General features: G+C 46.9%; 2 protein-coding genes across 2 annotated transcripts in view, besides 7 other annotated features; both read right to left on the reverse strand.

Moving 5' to 3' along the window:
• Nucleotides 1-11,312, reverse strand: part of LIX1L (limb and CNS expressed 1 like) — a 24,595-nt gene extending 13,283 nt beyond the window's left edge. The window contains exons 1-2 of the mRNA NM_153713.3: nt 10,931-11,312; nt 914-1,077 (exon numbers count right to left, since the gene is read on the reverse strand). Coding sequence (NP_714924.1) covers nt 914-1,077; nt 10,931-11,222 — 456 coding nt within the window. The 5' untranslated portion in view covers nt 11,223-11,312. The remainder of the gene's footprint in view (nt 1-913; nt 1,078-10,930) is intronic.
• Nucleotides 10,967-11,246: a silencer, noted in NCBI's record as "silent region_1269". NCBI's record gives its function as "represses an Ori minimal core promoter by ATAC-STARR-seq in GM12878 lymphoblastoid cells {active_cell/tissue: GM12878}" and the evidence as "EXISTENCE:reporter gene assay evidence [ECO:0000049][PMID:35858748]".
• Nucleotides 11,277-11,366: a silencer, noted in NCBI's record as "silent region_1270". NCBI's record gives its function as "represses an Ori minimal core promoter by ATAC-STARR-seq in GM12878 lymphoblastoid cells {active_cell/tissue: GM12878}" and the evidence as "EXISTENCE:reporter gene assay evidence [ECO:0000049][PMID:35858748]".
• ANKRD34A (ankyrin repeat domain 34A) lies at nt 12,736-17,870 on the reverse strand. Its single transcript, NM_001039888.4, has 4 exons — nt 17,479-17,870; nt 16,605-16,832; nt 15,716-16,263; nt 12,736-15,174 (listed from the first exon to the last, which is right to left on the reverse strand). The coding sequence occupies exon 4, from the start codon at nt 15,052-15,054 to the stop codon at nt 13,564-13,566; it is 1,491 nt and encodes a 496-aa protein (NP_001034977.1). The 5' UTR covers nt 15,055-15,174; nt 15,716-16,263; nt 16,605-16,832; nt 17,479-17,870; the 3' UTR covers nt 12,736-13,563.
• Nucleotides 13,745-13,863: an enhancer, noted in NCBI's record as "conserved acetylation island sequence C12". NCBI's record gives its function as "activates a minimal heat-shock promoter by reporter assays in Jurkat T cells {active_cell/tissue: Jurkat}" and the evidence as "EXISTENCE:reporter gene assay evidence [ECO:0000049][PMID:17135569]".
• Nucleotides 14,227-15,062: an enhancer, noted in NCBI's record as "H3K4me1 hESC enhancer chr1:145473321-145474156 (GRCh37/hg19 assembly coordinates)". NCBI's record gives its function as "activates a minimal SCP1, AML or CMV promoter by ChIP-STARR-seq in naive H9 embryonic stem cells {active_cell/tissue: H9 hESC(naive)}" and the evidence as "EXISTENCE:reporter gene assay evidence [ECO:0000049][PMID:30033119]".
• Nucleotides 14,264-14,313: an enhancer, noted in NCBI's record as "active region_1620". NCBI's record gives its function as "activates an Ori minimal core promoter by ATAC-STARR-seq in GM12878 lymphoblastoid cells {active_cell/tissue: GM12878}" and the evidence as "EXISTENCE:reporter gene assay evidence [ECO:0000049][PMID:35858748]".
• Nucleotides 17,102-17,396: a silencer, noted in NCBI's record as "tiled region #4010; HepG2 Repressive non-DNase unmatched - State 2:TssF". NCBI's record gives its function as "represses a minimal TATA promoter and a strong SV40 promoter by Sharpr-MPRA in HepG2 cells {active_cell/tissue: HepG2}" and the evidence as "EXISTENCE:reporter gene assay evidence [ECO:0000049][PMID:27701403]".
• Nucleotides 17,712-17,881: an enhancer, noted in NCBI's record as "active region_1621". NCBI's record gives its function as "activates an Ori minimal core promoter by ATAC-STARR-seq in GM12878 lymphoblastoid cells {active_cell/tissue: GM12878}" and the evidence as "EXISTENCE:reporter gene assay evidence [ECO:0000049][PMID:35858748]".

Below are 17,950 nucleotides of genomic sequence, written 5' to 3' on the forward strand. Positions count from 1 at the left end.
AACATAGTCCACTAGGAGAGACAAACAATTATGATATGTTGTAATAAGTGATATGATAGGGGAAGTTCAAGGTGCTATGCAGACACACAGTAGGGCCTTTAACCTTGTCTAAGGGTTTCACAAACCATATGGAAAACAGAACAAAGGTGTTTATTATTTTCTCTAAATTCCATTTGAGACTTTTAAGTTGACATTTCAGAAGGCTGCCTCCCTGTCTGCAATGTAAAAAATCCATCTTTGATGAGAATATTCGTACTAGTCCATAATTTTTCACTACTACCTCATAATGGCAACCATTCTTTTCATCATCATAGGTATTTCACATAATTGTAGAATGTTAGTAGTAGAAAAGACTTTAGAAATAATCTAACCTATCTCCTTCATGTTATAGATGGGAAAAGTGAGGCCCAGAGATTTGCCCCATTGATATTCAGAAGAATGTAAATTTGGATCTCCTAACTCTTAGATGAGTACTGTTTCCAGCATACATAGTCCCTCCGATTTGACCTCTTAGAGAACTCCAACATTGCTTTCTTTAGTAATTGCCTACGAAAAAGTACTGGAGGCAAGGAATATTGTTCTATATCCTCAATAAGAGATGGAAGAAAGTTGGAATGCAATAACTGAAGCCAGATTGGAACATGGGTTGGATGCTGGTAGTCGGATATACTGAGCAAGGGGATATTCATAACTGCTCAAATTCAAAATGGGTTTGAGTTTTTGAAAGGAAAGCATGCTACTGAGGTTCTACTATGGTCAAATTGGCCTCAGATGCTTGCCAGAATAATTTCCCCAGAATTGCTTTAGGTCCTCAAATATATGATTTCAGGCAGTTTAATGGCCAAAGTGGTGGAGAAAGCCGTTACTAACATCTAAGCATTTACCTTTGCTACTGCCACCTCACAACTCTTACCTGGAAACTCCCAAAGCAGCTTCCCCCAGGCAGGGTGACATAGCAGACATAAGGAGGGCTGTTGGAGGGAACCATCTCATAAACCACTAGAGCCCCATTCTTTAAGTCAGCACCACGGGACTGCTTCATCTGCCAGAATTCCTGAAGTGCCTCCACCACATTCACTACAAAAGAGAAGTACTTAAGTTCAGCAATGAATGAGAACACCTCCACGTGGTGCTATACTTCAATACAGTACCTGTAACCTGTACCTACATTAAGAGTCTGCCCCTTAGCTCCCTACCTATCGCCATTGAAAAGCATTTAAGTTAATAAACCTAGACTGTGATTAAGTTAATTTGCCTAGAAAGACCAGAGTAGGCCTGCCCTCCTCCACCACTTTTCTGGTTCACATTTTATTTTATTTAAATTTTTTTTTCACTCCCACCTCCAATCTGAATAGTTCACATTTTAACTTAGTCCTAGAATAACTTAAATATTGAAGGCAGAGTTCCCAATGTCAGCAGACCATTATCACTGCCTGATGAAATACAAGCAGATTATTCCACAGTTGGTTAGCTGGCCCAGGATGATAATAACCACCACAATAAGTGCTAACATGTATTGAACTGTATGTCACCCATTTCTGTAACTGCTTTACGTGTTTAATCACAGCAACTTTATGAAGCAGATATTTTTACTATCCATATTTTACAGATGAGGGAAATGAGGTACAGAGAAGTTAAATAACTTGCCCAAGGTTATGCCAGGAGAAAGTAGCAGTTTGAGTATTCAAACTCAAGTAGTCTTGGTTCCAATGAATATTCTTTTATGCAATACTGCTGGCTCAAGGAAATATAGCCCTAATAACCATTCTCGAGCCTGTGCTTCTAGTGAGCACATCCATTGCCAGATTCCTTTTCCAACCCAGAATACTATGTACATACTACGAGTGAGAGAAGCCAGGGCATGGGGGTGGGAGAGAAAACTCTTTTGAGGCTTTACCTGGGTATAAATGTTTTTGGAGGAGCCATATGGTGAGATGCGAAGCAATGCAATGGGAAGCAATTGGAGGACTTTAAAAAGAAGCACTCCTCCATGGGTCGGTCTCTCATGCTCCTTCACATCTTGCTAGGTACACCAAGATTGCAAATCCCTGACTGCTCTTTACTTGGGCTATTTTTCAGGACTGTGCTTGCAGCAAGAAATATTGAGGGATGAGGTACTACCTTCACTCAGATAAAGAACTTGCTTGCTTCAGCTTGTTGTAAAATGGCAAGTTCCCCAAGCTGTGGGTTCTATAAGTGTTCCTCTGTTGTGAAGCAACCCATGGCCTATGCAAGTATCCACCTGAGTCCTCTGCATTGGACTTGGGAGGAGGCAAGGAGAACTAATATAAACATGATGCTCATGCTACTTGCTGTGCTATGAATAATAAATTCCTTTGTCTCTAAATCTCAAAGTCTCTTGACTTCTGCCAGCACCCATGAAACAGTAAATGGCTAATTTATTAGTTGTAGGTAGGCTAAAATCAAACTCCAGACCTGACATTGTATTCTAGAAAACTTCCTCTCATCCCTACGTTTTCCTTATGTAGCCTACAGTGTAAAGAGGGAAAGAGATATTAACCAAATCTCAAACAAATGTAAAATTGCAGCTGTGATCAAGTTCTATAAAGGAGTGATAGATGTCGGCGTATCTGACCTAGTTAAGAAGGTCAAAGAAAGCTACCCTGAGGAGGCAATATCTAAGTTTAGGTATGACTAGGAATTCACTAGGCAAGAGGTGAGAGGACAGTGTTCTGTGCGTAAGGAACAGCATGTTCAAAGGCTCATGACGGCAGGGAACATGATGAATAAAGGGAATTAAGACCATATGGCTATGAAAGAGTGAGGGAGGGGAAGTGTAATGCAAGATGAGGTTGCAAGAGGAGGCAGGGACCAGACCAAGTAGGGCCTTTTAGGCCATGTTAGAGTATTGGCTTTATCCTAGAGCAATAGGAAGCAATTGGAGGACTTTAAAAAGAAGGGAGTCTTTCTAACTCAGCTCCAAGGAAAAATAACTAATTAAAAAAAAAAGGAGGGATGAGATCAGTTTGCTTTTAGAAAGGATCACATTGGCTCTAGGGTTCCAAACATTTCAAATAGTTTTAGCTAAAGCCTCATAATAATAAATTATCCCAGGTGCTCTGAAATATCTTGCAACATACTGACCACTCTCCTTTTTTTTTTTTTTTTGAGACAGAATCTCACTCTGTTGCCCAGGCTGGAGTGCAGTGGAGCGATCTCAGCTCACTGCAACCTCCACCTCCCAGGCCCAGGCGATCCTCCAACCTTAGCCTCTGAGTAGCTGGGACCACAGGTGCATGCCACCACGCCCGTCTAATTTTTGTAATTTTTGTAGAGACAGAGTTTCACTACATTGCCCAGGCTGGTCTCAAACTCCTGAGCTCAAGCGGCCTCCCAAAGTGCTCCTCCTCCACCTTGGCCCCCCAAAGTGCTGGGATTACAGGCGTGAGCCACCACGTCTGGCCTCTCCTCTTCTACTCTTAATCGCAACAAAGTCTCATTCGTTCTTTCATATTTCCTTAGTTCAGATCTGCCAAGAAGACACCAAGATGGGATAGACAATTGCAAGAGATTTATCAGGGAGGAAGTAGGAGACAACAGGGAGAGCCTTCTGAGCACAGCAAAGATCTCATGCCTGTGGAAGAGAGGGAAAGAAGGAGGTCTAGATATGACAATCTCAGACTGTAGTACAGTTTTTGTTGTTGTTGTTGTTGTTGTTGTTTTTTTTCTAAACAGATTCTCACTCTGTCGCCCAGACCGGAGTGCAGTGGCGTGATCTCAGCTCACTGCAAGCTCCACCTCCCGGGTTCATGTCATTCTCCTGCCTCAGCCTCCTGAGTAGCTGGGACTACCACCACGCCCGGCTAATTTTTTGTATTTTTAGTAGAGACAGGGTTTCACCGTGTTAGCCAGGATGATCTTGATCTCCTGACCTCATGATCCGCCCGCCTCGGCCTCCCAAAGTGCTGGGATTACAGGCGCAAGCCACCACGCCCGGCTGTAGTACAGTTTTAAGAAAGATTTGGCTAAGTCAGTGAGAAGTCCTCATGCCAAAGGAATCCCATATCTCACCAGGATCTGCCTGTGTTAATACCCCTGATGTGCTAGGTCATTGGCTGGGAGCAGCCTACAGGAAGCGTGGTTCCTTCAAATGTGGTTATGGATGCGAATGTGCGACTTTGTGGTGCAAATGTGGTTATGGATGACCCAGAGTGGGCAGTGGCTGAGGCTGTTAGTTATGCTCCCTGCAGCAGGCAATGAGAACTGCACATTTTCATGGCTGTCATATACACGTTAGCAAAACTTTGAGCACTTAATAGGTACATGGCATCATTCTAAGCATTGAGCATGAAAAGAATAACTCACAGTTCCTGCAAGCAAGGAATTTATTTTATTTTTGAGTTGGAGTCTCCCTCTGTTTCCCAGGCTGGAGTGCAGTGGCGCAATCTTGGCTCACTGCAACCTCTACCTCCCAGGTTCAAGCAATTCTTCTGTCTCAGCCTCTTGAGTAGCTGGGATTATAGGCACATGCCGCCACGCCTGGCTAATTTTTGTATTTTTAGTAGAGACACGGTTTCACCATATTGGTCAGGCTGGTCTCAAACTCCTGACCTTAGGTGATCCACCTGCCTCGGCCTCCCAAACTGCCGGGATTACAGGCGTGAGCCACCGCGCCCAGCAAGCAAGGAATTTGAAATCAGTGGCCAATAATAAATTATCTCGCCTGCTCTGTGACTGAAACAAACACCCATGTACTAGCCTGAGTTGGAGAAGCAGCATAAACTCTTTTTAATAACCTACATTTAACTGACTTTTAAGAATGCTCATTCTTCTATTAAAAGACAGCATGAGGGCACATGTCATTAGGACCTCCTGAGGCTCTGTCATGGGCAAAAAAAATTAAAATTAAAATTTAAAAAAAGATCCAGCATGAAAAGAAAACTCTCTTTCCTTCTATTGGTTTTGGCAGGGCTCTTCAAAGGTCAATACTGACCAGAAAGCTCAGCCATCTTTGTTCTTTCCGTGAGATCTTTTCAGCTCCAGTTCCCTCTTTGAGACAGTTTAGCACAATGCACTGGGTGACAGCTCTCTTGACATGCACACAACAGGGAGAATACTGGAATAAAGAGGAAGAGGAGGAGACCACCATAATTGGGAAGGTCCTATTAAAAAGCATATGTTCAGTCTCTATCCAGTTAAACATTCCTTTGCACAGACTAGAGAATCATTTTTTAATGATTACTCAAGGCCAAGGGACATGGGGAGTCTTGATTTTAGAAATGTGAGTATGAAATGATAATTGGGCAAAGTGGTCAAGAAAAAAGCAACTAATTGTGATCCGCATTTGAAAATGCTTCTAGACTTATTCATTTTTAGGGCTGGAAGGAACTTTAGAGATCATCTAGTCCAATGCTGGCTAAGAAAGAACAGAAGACTTGTTTGAGGTCACATAGCTATGGCAGAGTTGGGGCATGAATCTAGATTTCCGGGGGCCAATATTCTTTCCAATTTGGGAATCTTAACACAGGCTCCAAGGTCCAGTCCACAGCTGAGCTTCATGGAGGTTCACAAGCTTCCTAAAACTGTTAAGTAAAATTATGTGTGTGTCTGTATGCATATGAGTATTTGTGCATGGGTATATGTGGAGCACCCAAATTTTGTATCATATTTTCAATGAGGAACCATGGATATAATGGTTTACATAAGGATGGCTAAAGAACAGTGAGGTGGGAGGGTAGGAAGAACTGAGATATACACATCTGATAATTGTTTTCTCAAAGTCTCTCACAAGAAAGACCAAGATAGGAATATTTCAGTGCTTATACCCTGCTGTTGAATAACAAAAAAGAGAATAATTTAGTTTTTGCCTTTAGGAGATAAAATATACGAATGTCTAAGTGGACAGGATGGGAATGAGAGGTAGTGATCATTTTCAGCCAAAATAAAAACTTTTTTTTTTTTTTGAGACAAAGTCTTGCTCTGTCGCCCAGGCTGGAGTGCAGTAGCATGATCTTGGCTCACGGCAACCTCCACCTCCAAGGTTCAAGCAATTCTCCTGCTCAGCCTCCCGAGTAGCTGGGATTACAGGCGCACGCCACCACACCCAGCTAATTTTTGTATTTTTAGTAGAGACGGGGTTTCGCCATGTTGGCCAGGCTGGTCTTGAACTCCTGACTTCAGATGATCCTCCCACCTCAGCCTCCCAAAGTGCTGGGATTACAGGTGTGAGTCACCGCACCTAACCTAAAACATTTTTTTTTTTTGAGGCAAGGTCTCGCTCTATCGCTGAAGCTAGAATTCAGTGGCACAATCACACCTCACTGCAGCCTTGACTTCCTGGGTTCAAGTGATCCTCCCACCTCAGCTCCCTGAGTGGCTGGGACTACAAGATGCATGCCACCATGCCTGGATAATTCAAAAAAATTTTTTTGTAGAGATGGGGTCTCACTATGTTGCCCAGGCTGGTCTCAAACCCTAAGGTTCAAGCAATCCTCCTGCGCTGGCCTCCAAAATGCTGGGATTACAGGCATGAGCCATTGTGCCTGGCCAGGATAAAAATATTAAAACAATATATGAAACTACAGTAAAAATTTTATATCATAAGGATAAATACAACCTTGCCAGGAAGGTAATTAACAAAAATAAAAGAAAAAAGTAATAAATACAACTTTGTGGTGGGGAAGCAGGAATAAAGAGATAATGAAGTTAAGAGGTGAGTAAAAAGATTCTCCTTGATCATAGAGGATGGCGAGAATAGACTGACTCTATTCACATTATTATGGAAGATAGGGAAGCTAGTTAACAATAGTTCATCTATTTCCTATTTCAATGTTTAGAAGGTACATCTGCCCCTAAATAGCCCACGATCCACAGTCTCTTTGGAAGGAGAGACTGCAAAGTAACAGTGACTTTGGGAGGGGACTCTGGTAGACTGAATAATGCCACCTGCCAAAATGTCCATGTCTTAATCCTTGGAACCTGTGAATGTGACATTATCTGGCAAAGACTTTGCAGATGAGTTTAAATGATCTGAGATGGGGAGATGACCTAGATTATATAGGTGGGCCCTAAGTGCATTCACAAGTGTCCTTATAAGAGGGAGGCAGGATGGGCACACTGACTCATGCCTATAATTCCAGCACTTTGGGAGGCCAAAGCAGGATGATCACTTGAGGCCAGGAGTTCAAGATCAGCCTGGGCAACACTGTGGGATCTCATCTCTACAAAAAAATTTTTTAAAATCAGCCAGGTGTGGTGACATGCACCTGTAGTCTAGCTACTTGGGAGGCTGAGGCGGGTGGGAGGATCACTGGAGCCCAGCAGTTCCAGGCTGCGGTGAGCTATGATTGCACCACTGCAGTCCAGCCTAGGCAACACAGCGAGATTCCATTTCTTAAAAAAAAAAAAAGGAGGCATATTTGATGAAGAGGAGGAGTCACGGAGGCAGAGATTATAGTGATACAGCAATAAACCACGTAATAAACCAATGTCAGCAGCCACCAGAAGCTGGAAGAGGCAAGGAATGAATTCTCCCCTAGAGCTTCTGGAGGGAGCACGGCCCTGCCAACACCTTGATTTTGGCCCAGTAATACTGATTTTGGACTTCTGGCCTCCAGAACTATGAGAGAACAAATTTCTGTTGGTTTAAGCCACTAAAGTTGTGATAATTTGTTACAGCAGCCACAGGAAACTAATATAGGAACTAATCCAGCATTTCCAAAAATTGGAAATATTCAGCCCAACCCATTTAACTCCAGTCTTACAGAAAAGAAGCTATCTGTGATTCTGAGGAAAAGGAACAACTAAATAGAAAATACTACACAAGATTCATTTGTTCAACTTAGTGAAATAACAGGGCAAAATCTCCAATCATGCAGCCATATTGTAACATAAAAGGATAGCAATACTTCCAAAACAACAGGTTTGAAGAGGGAAATGTAGCAATTACAGAGCAAGGAAAGTGAGTTACTCGATCCTGCCAGTTTAGAGATTGCCAGATGTCAAACATGAGAAAGAGACTATATGCCATAGAAAAAAAGGGTGCAAAGGAAATGGCAATGCAGAACAGTACCTATCATTTGCAGTTTCCAAAGCATTTCCAAATGCACAATAGTAGCAACCATACTGAGTACCAGGTGCTGCATGCTTTATATTCGTTGTCTTATTTAATCCACACAAAACTATCAGGATAAGTATTATAATACCCATTTTACAAAAAGTAAGCAAGTTAAGGAACAGGCCAGAAGTGGCAGAACCAGGATTTAGAAACAATGTTTGTTTGGCTCCAAAGTCAACCCTCTTTGTATTGGGCTGGCCTGCTTTACTACACCATTAATCTTTATACATGCTCTGTAATGTAAACTGTGAGCTCCATCAAGATAGGGACTAAATATCTGCCTTGTCCACCACTGCATCTGGTGATCAATAAATATTTGGTAAATGAATGAAGAGAACAGATGAAGCATAGAGAGATTAAGCAACTTCTCCAAGATCACACAGCCAACTATTTGACAGGGCTAGGTCCTCTGATTACAAATCCCATGCACTACAAACTTATCAAGATCCTACAGAATACTGAGCTGTGTGTGTATCTTGGGTAAGTGGGTGAGGGAGGCAGATAAAGGACAGGAAAGCTTTTTAAAATAAATAAGTAAATACATACATACATACATATATACATACATACTGATAGCCCACATGAGTGAAGGTAGATCTAAAGACTGATTGGAAAAGGTGGATTTGGAGCATTCAGGAAGAAGATGAAGGATGTTAATTGAAGATGATGTGGTAAAGCATTGCTGGATGAGGGAATGAATTGTCTAGGCAGAGGCTAAAGTAAATTGTATTCAGGGGAATACAGCCATTCCCCCAAATAACATGCCATCAGTCACAAGGGTATGTGAATATATGCCAGTGGCAGCTTTGCCTAAGAATTGAAGCAGAATAAGTGATTCCATGTGGTAAAGGACTTCTGAGCCAAATGGGCAGAGATTCTGCTTGCCTGAAGCTGAACTATCTGCCAGACTTTCCTAAAGTACTGGCTGGACACTCAGACTGGAAATGAGAAACTCAAGAATAATGAGAAAGACTGCGATGGGAGGTGGGGAGATAGGAAAGAAAATCACCACGAAGTGTGAAGCCTGATTAATTGCCCTTTGTCAGTACAATCCCCTTGTTCCCTCATCCTTGCTAAGGAAATGAAAGTTTTTACAGGATGTCCAGTTTGGGAGCCAAAGCAGAGGCTCTCCAGGTAACACAGACAAGAAAAAGGGTGTACTCTTCTATAATTTTAATAAATGCCTGTAAGTTGCCAAGAGGAAGGCTTCAGATTTAGTGTGACCACTCTAGGCTACTCCTGTGCCCAGAGGCAAAGACCTTCCCTTGATCTTGACTTAGAGACTTGAAGCAGCAGGATAGTAGCTAATAGCAGTTCCATCACATAGCCTTGTTAAATCTTGGGATTACATTGGAAAAATAGTATTTCCTCATGAGTTTCAGATTCATCCATTTGTATCCCCAGCACCTAGCAGAGTTCCTGTCTTATAATAGGAGTTCAAATTGTATGAAGAACAAAGGGAAATTGATGATGAATGAATCATTAGGCACATATAGCAAAATGGCTCTAAAAATCTGTTTTCATAGGAATTTTTGGGTTTACATTATTAGGATTTAAGAGTGGGAAAAAGTGAAGCATGTTCTACTTAAGGAACTATGAACCAACAAATTTGAGATAATAATCATTTTTAGGTTATATGTCATTTGCAATGTCTCAGTCAATCCATATTGTAACCCTTGAAGAAACTGAAGCTCAGTGAAATTAAGTCCCTTCCCCAAAGATTTGGCTGGTAAGTGACAAAGATCTCCAAAGCCTGTGTGTGCTCTTTTCACTAAACTTTCTTAAAAAAAGAAAATCTACAGAAAAGCCCTGTAACTTTTCTCTGTATTATTGTTAAACAGAAAGTTAAAGATATAGTCACTTCCAGGTCAGGCAGGACCTGGCCAAGCAGACAGAAGGGATGTCTTGTAAATTCCAGGCTTAAATTCTGTATTCCACACCCTTCACTATATATTCCTTATTACTTACACTATAAATCTGGAACTCAAACTCAGACAGGAAACTACCCTAGTTAAACGAAAACAACAAAGAAAACCCTCACATCCCTCTTTCCAGAAATTAACGAAGTTTTCTAACTGAAATAGAGTTTCTAACCTGGCACATTTCCACAGAATTTAACATTGAAAGAGCCAAGGCCTGGGATTTATCCTCAGTTCCTGGGCAAGGGCCAGGAAAACACAGCCAGACAGAAAGGCTGGAGTTGTGAGTCTCCATACTAAAAAAGATACCAAAGTAAGGTACTGAGCCACAGGAAGCTGCTGTGAGTTCAGTGGTACAGGTCCGGATTTAAATACACAATTACTATGAGTGACTTGTGAAGGCACTACCTAGTTCCCCAGTAAATCTGAAGTTGCACTGAAATTTCAGAGTGAAGGTAAGTAAGTAAAGAATTTAACAGTCAAGGTTAAGGGGCTGGAGCAAATTAACAGGTGAGTCCAGGAATTGCAGAGATCACAGAGGAAAGACTGAGAGGGTATGGATGAGAAATTGGATCTGAAATAAAAGACAGGATCCCACACAATGAGGACTGGTTCTCAAAGGCAGAGAGATGTTAAGGTATTAAGCTGGAGGAGGAATTCCATTTCTAAAGGAGAAAAGCTTAGGAAGAAAAGAGGATTGTATCTGAAAAAGAGTCCCTGGAGAATATATTAATAACTCAGTAAAGGGGAGGAGGTAGGAGGCTTAAACGTGTGTATGAGTGTGTGCGTCTGTGCGTGTGCGTAGCCCAGAAGGAAACTCCCCAAAAGGAAATGCATGTGAGGGCTCCACGCCAGGAAAAGCGATCCGGAGGACTGTGGGAGCAAGGCTCCCTTACAGAGGGTGTCGCGCAGGAGGCCAGACCCGCAGACTCACCTCGGCCATAGCCCTGCGTGTGCTTGGCGAAGCTCCTCACCACGGCCTCCACGGCCTCTCGCAGCACTGCCGGGCTGCCGGCGGCGCCGGGGGGCAGGGGTAGTCCTGGGGCCCCAGACAGGAGCAGCGGCGGCGGGGGCGGTGCGGGAGGCGGCGGGGCAGGCGGGGGGCCCGCAGGGGGTGTGGCGGTGGCGGCCGCGGCCCCAGTCACTCCGGGCCGCAGCGCTCGGAGAGTGCCCCTCCCGCTGGTGCCCACACCAGGCTGCAGCCGCTGCGCTCGCATAGTCTCCATCCCGGCCGCCAATGGAGTAGCGCCCCGGAGCCTGCCAGCCTGCCGAGCTAACGGTCCCAACCACCCCAGTCAGCTAGCGCCTGGGGACTCAGGGCGGTGCCAGGGCCGAACCTTCAGTCAAGTGGGGGCGGGGACGAGCTAGGTCCCATGCCAATCACCAGTGATGGGGCGGGAGCTGGAGGGCTCCTGCTCCGCCATAGGCAAATTATTGAGGAGGGTGGGGATTCTCAGAACCAATTGCAAAGAGAAAAAGCGTATCCTCTGAAAGGCAGACGCAGAGCTTCGGCGCGTCTTTGGGAGTCCTGTGGCAAGCACTAGAAAGCAGGACAGAATCTTGGGGCTGGGCTTGAAGAAAAAAATGGGCCTAGATGCAAGATTGGGGAGGATTGCAGACAGAGTAGAGATCATTTTGTCCTACCATTTCATTTCACAGATTGCAGGTGAGGATATTGTGGCTCAGAGAAGTAATTCGACTTGTCCAACATCATATGCAATTGGTGGTGGAGCTAAGGCAAGAAAGATACTGACATTTAATGAACATAAACTATGCAATGTACTGTAGTGCATGTCTTATTTACAATCACAATCACTAACTAGATTTTGTTATTTTAGGGATAAGGAAACAGATGCTGAGGGAAGCTAGAAAAATGGCCAAAATTAAATAGCTAAGAGATGGCAAAGTGGAATTCAGAGTTTAAGCATAGGTGTTCTGATTCCCAATATTTTTATCTTTTTACTATGCCACATTGTTGGGTAAATTTCTGAGTTCACTTATTCTAAGTAGAGGAAGGGAATAAGAGAGAGTGGGATGGGCAAGTCTCTTTGCCTCCCATTAGAGTGAGAAAGAGTTAGGATACATGCAGAAAATTAGCAAACTGAGAAGTCCAGTTGGGGGAATTAAGAAAATTACCCTTGTTGGTATAATATGTCAGACTGGGTTCCTCTGATTACTTTGCACACACACACACACTTGCACACATGCACACACACACACTCTACATACCCTTTATCATGTGGTCACCAGGCCATTTTTGCTTAGGTGAGATTATATTAACTGCTTCCCCCCATCTCTCCTACAGTGGCTCAGAAATCAAAGATGGGGAAATAGAGGCCAGAAGTAGAAGAAAATAGAAGAAACACACTTGGTGAAATGAAAATTAGACCCTGAATAAAAACTGTGAGTAGTCAAGAAATAGGAAGTTTCAAAAGGAGACAGTTAATCTACTGGGATATATCTGCTGATGATGGAGGGAGGAACTCTTTGTAGGAACCTTAAAGAATTCAAGGTTGGACATAGAGGAAACTGGAGGAAATGAAATCCTGTCAAATGCCTTAAAATCTTCAGGACACAGGACACTTGCCTTTTCTCTATAGAAAAGTTGGTTTCTTGGAAAGAAGGTGGCTGGAACAGCTAAGTATCCCTTGGATAATTATAGCTATAAGTTAGTGTTACCCTCCCTCCCCATTCCTCATTCCCCATACCCACACCTCCAGGCAGAAGTGACAAAACAGAGACTTCTGAACACATTTATTTGATATGTCAAGTGGAGAGAGGAGTGATTTAGGGTTTCTCCCCACTTCTACCTGTGGGGGTGTTCATAAGCTCAGACAGACAGAAGAGCAGCTTAGAGCCCATGACCCACCCCCTGGGAAAATGAGACAATCTGTTGTAGTTGTTGGAGGAACAGGGTGGGAATAAAAAGCAGGAAGTTGAGAAGTGAAGTTGAGAGCAGTAAAGACAGCAGCAGAACTGAGGCTGGGGGTTGCTGCAGGAACCCCCAAGAAGAGTGAAAAAGATATCCTGAAAAGTGGTTGGGGTTAGAAGCAGGGTGTGAATAAGGAGCCAGGCCTGGAGAAAGAAGCAAGACCTGCAGAATGGGCTGGGATGTCCACGGAGAGAGTGTGCAAAATCATGATAGGCTGTGTTTCAGGGCATACATGGAAAGCAAGGGATTGCTTCTGCAGGAGGGCAAAGACATCGGAGACTGCCCATAAGTAAGGGTTCCCTACTGCTTCTGAACAAATGCAAGAGAGTTTGGGACCCTAGCCCTGTGTGTTTATTGATATGCTGTGCCTGTAGGTACACAAGTAATCCCATATGCATGTGAAATGACCAGGGCATGAATACATGTGTGTATATACCCAGTAAATAGAGTACTTATTCTTTCTTGCTAATAAGAGTACTGTGCTTATGGACACATGTTTAACCATGTGTGGGTGCACTGTGCACCCATGAGCACATGCAAGAGATCCCTTTGTTCGTGGTGTGTGTGTGAGCTGGTTCTCCCACCTATCCCATTAAGGTCCTAATCCCCACCCTCCTTGGCTCCTCTCACTCCTCTCAGCGCCCTGGCTCCCCAGGCCCACCTAGACTCTGGAAGCCCCCCAGCAGGCGGATCTGCTCAGTCTGCATGGAGTGGCGTCTCACCAATTTGCGCTTGGTCCTGGGAGAGCCTGGCGCCCCGGCATAAGGAGGGGCAGGCAACGAAGGCGCCCGACCTCCGGGTTGTGGGCGAATGTCAGGGATGGGAGGGTGGGGACTGACGTTGAGAGGGGGTAGGAAACCCGGCCGCGTTTGCGAGATGTGGTCCAGGAGCAACGTCCCCGAGCCCCTCCGCTCCAGCAGCCCCGGACTCCGCCTCCTTCCGCTTAGCGGAGATACTGCCCCTGGCAGACTCTCCTGGGACTGGCGCGGAGAGGGAGCCGAGCCGGCTGGAGGGAGGGTCAACGGGGAGGCGCTGTATCGGCGGCGCTCCAGGGACAGGCGGCTGGACTCAGGCGAGTCAGGGCAAAGGTGTCCAGGGGTGTCCAGCTCCACTGGCTCCATGCGGCTCAGTTTCTGCCTCAGCCCTGAAGGGGGACCAGACTCCTGAGCTTCTGGTGCTGTGTTTCGGCGAGAGAGAGGACCCCCGCTAGTCACTTTCTCCGCCCATGGGGGCGGGTCCTCAGGGCCTTCGGTGCTGTGACGTCGGGAAAGACGGGGTCGACCGGTCAGGGTCAGGCCATTGAATTCGGCAGTCAAGCGCTCGATCCCCGGTCTCCCTTCAGTGGGTGGGACTGGTTGAGGAGGGGCCACTAGGCCCCAGGGCTCGGAGTTGAGCCTTTTGAGTGGTTTTGGGGGATGGCGTGGTGGTTTGGGGAGCGGCTCGGAAGGGGATGGGTCATCGGGGGGCTTAGGAAGAGGGAATTCAAATACGTCCCGCTTCTCCTCTTCTTCCTGGGCGCGAGGGGATAACATCCCACGCCCTCCTCCTCCAGCGGTCTGCAGTTGGATTTCCGAAGGCGACGTGCAGAACCCCGGGCTAGGAGAGGCGGGAGCAGGGTCCTCCACCCCTGGGGATGGTGGAGAATTGAGATACTGCCGGGTCTTCTTGGTGCCTGAGGGCGAGGTATCGGTGGTGATGATGATGACCTCCGTACCCTTGGCCTTGCAGGCGTCCAGCAGTGTGGCAAGGGTCTCGCGGTCCCCGCGGTCCAGGGCGTGGACAAGAGCCGAGGCGCCCGCGTGATCTCGGACTGAGGGGTCTGCGCCGTGGGCAAGGAGCAGCGAGGCCACCGCGGCGCCCCCACCCCCGGCGCAAGCGTGCATGAGCGCCGTGCGCCCTAATCGGTCTGCGATATTGGGGTCCGCGCCTTGCTCCAGGAGGTAGCGTACCATGCGTGCCTTGTTCTGGGGGTCGTCGTAGCGGGCCCGACAGGCTGCCATTAGCGCAGTCTCCCCCTGCGCATCACCCTCATTCACGTAGGCGCCTCCCTCCAGAAGCAAACGGGCCAAGCGTAGCTTACCCTGACCCACCGCCCGAAGAAGAGCGTGGCCCTCGGTGTGCAACATAGCTGCGGCTGGGGCGAGGGCACAGATGGAGCCGGGACTGAGACCTGCCGAGGATGACTAGGGGTATGGGGAGGGGGAGTGGCTGGCAGAGGCCTGAGGTCTCAGTGACGAAGCCGATCCCTGCAAGAGAGACATCTCATTGATAGATTCGGCAGGAAAACTGAGGCACAGATGCAGGGACCCAGCGTGGGGTGGAGGAGACCTTCACGGCATACAGTCCTTCCTCTAACTCATGCCTTTGAGCCGGCCCTTCCCCCGCAGCGCATGCCTGAGGAGGTGGGAAGGGTGCACCCGCACTGAAGGACTAGCGCGCGTGCAAATGCGTTCGTGCACGCGCAGGGATGTCCGCACCCCCACCCTCACCCCATGGCTTATCAGACCTTTCCTCTGTCCCCCTTGTCTTATCCACACTTGGGATCCCCCTTTCTAGGATGCTGAACGCCACCCACCCACATACATGCACCCTACAGTCACACATGTATTCTCATTCCTAACCTGTTTTAGCTTGCCACAACCCCAAAAATTGAGTGGGGGGAGGGAAGCAGCCTGCATTTGAGACCTAAAACGGGTGGAGGGAGAATTGGGGGGTTCTATTGCCCCTGCGATGTTCCCCATCACTCCTTGCTCTTTCCCCTCCCAGGCTGTGTGCCCAGATAGATACCTGAATGTCCGCAGAATCTCCGCCTGGCCAGGATTGGGGCCGTGGCCACGGGGCAGCCGAGGTGGCGGAGCCAGTTTCCTGGGGGCCCGCATGGCGTGGGGGGGGGGGCACCCGGATTCCCTTGGTGTCAGTATCTGCGCCCCGGCGCCGGATCCTGGTCCCTCCTCCCGGAGCGCCCCGGGCACAGCGCCGGCTCGGGAGGAGAGAAGCTTGGCGGGGGGGGGGGGGGGGGGGGGGGCGGAGCTCTGCTGTGCTATTTATAGCCTAGTCACTGCGGGTGGGGGCGTCAGGCACCAAACTGCTCCCCCACTCATGCACACATAAACCCTCAAAAACCTAGAGGCTCCAATCCTGACTTCCTTTTCTCAGCCGACCTCCCCTCAGCCCCAACAAACCTAAGTGTTCCTTAGGGGACTCCTCCGCGACCCAGACAGGGACCATCATCCAGATTCTTCGCTGAGATTCAGCAGATCCCCATTCTCCGCACTTGGTGTGTTTGTGCGCTCCTGTGCGCCAGACCTGACCTGCCATACACGGCACATGGCACACTGTGTAAGAAAGGTGTAGAAAGGCTTTTTGGATCCACAGCCGGTGTCCATACTGTGCAAAGAGAGGCAAGAGATGTGGCTTTCTTCCTGTAGTTTAATTGTGAAGGAGATCACGGTCCAGCCTGGAGTCAGACACAGATACACCCCCGCCCCATCTCTCAAAAACGGAACACCCATCGCAGAGAAACTTGGACCTCAGCTCCCTTATGTAGACCTCTTAGATAAGTATGAGGAAGGTGGATATGGGAGCACTTTTAGATAAGGCAAGGGACATTCCAGGTGCCTCCACCCCGTATTATTGTGGGCAGGGAGATAGGACAGGGGCAGGAAGAAGAGCGAACCTTGTAATACACTCTCTCACATTGCATCTCTTTAATCTCAGTCTTGCTTAGACGTCTTATTTTTTCCATCTTGCTTGACGATCTCTGTCTGAAACATTCCTTATATCTTCTCTCTTCCTATCTGTCTATTGGTCTCTCACACTGTCTCTGCCTCTCCTTGCCACCTGCCCTGTCTCCATGGTTACCATAGCTTCCATCCACATATTTTAGGAATGAGTTTGTGTCCAGCTGGAAGGCACCAAGGGAAGTGGGAGAAAAAGAAAAATCCTAAGGATTTAAAAAGTTCACTCAGGGTCCTGAGCTAATTCAGAGGCTGGAGGCCCCCCAGATGCAAGATACTGAAAATAATGTTCCCGGGGATGGGAGAGAGAGAGAAATATTTGCAGGAAGCTACCCATTTTTACTAGTTATTTCTTGGACACGTGTCAACTATGTGCCATGTGCTTTACATACACTATTTTCAATCCTCACAACTTTATAAGATAGGAACTATCATCTTCTTGTTACAGATGAGGAAACAGACTTAATAAGGTTAAGCAAGCTCTCCAAAGCTTCACAGCTATGTTTCTGTCCTATGGCAAAGACTGGGAGCTTGCCACTACACCTACAGCCTCCCAGTCTACAGGCCATTTTCTCTGACATCTGGGATGTTCTTCTTGACTAACTCCTAGATTTCATCTCCATTCTGAACCTTTCTCCCTTGTTTCTGCTTTCTGTGAAAATAGGACTCCTCCTTCCACTCTGCTGGCTTTCCCAAGGAGCTCGCAGGAAGTGGAAAGTAGTGGAAAATGCAGAAAAAGCTGGGCTCCTGCCCTGTCTCCCCAACCCTGGTACGCTGATCCCAAATCCTTCCTTTCTTGAACCCTCTGCCCACCTTCTCACAGACACGGCAGCAACCCACAGAAAAACATTTTTAGAAAAGAAGTATCCATTGGTGGTGCTGGAGAGAGGCAGTGTATGATTGAAAGGAAGGCTGGAGTAATGGAGAGACCAAGCTATGAAGCTAGAGTCACAAAAAGACTGATCCCTAAAGAGCAGCTTTTACAGAGGTTCATTTCTCCGTAGGCCCTCTCCTCCTTTGGCCTCTCTGTAGGGGCTCCCTCAACACGGTCCCTCGATGAGATATGAGTGTCACGTTCCCTCGGTGAACTCTCGCCGGCTAGTGGCTCCTTCATCTGGAGTGAGACCGGAAATAAGTGACCCCAGCTGATTCTGCAACGCCCATCTCTCTCTGCGACCCGCTTCGCAAGCTTCGGTTCCGGGCGTACTCGCTCCCTCCCTCCTTCTCTTCCTAGGCTTCAAGAGGGCGGACTTCCCTCCTCGGCTTCTCCTGCATTGGCCGAGAA

This window comes from Homo sapiens, chromosome 1 (assembly GCF_000001405.40).
Source record: "Homo sapiens chromosome 1, GRCh38.p14 Primary Assembly".
Lineage (NCBI taxonomy): Eukaryota > Metazoa > Chordata > Mammalia > Primates > Hominidae > Homo > Homo sapiens.

Coding starts and splice junctions, on each gene's coding strand:
- ANKRD34A (NM_001039888.4), bottom strand. CDS start 15,054: ATGTTGCACACCGAGGGCCACGCTCTTCTTCGGGCGGTGGGTCAGGGT.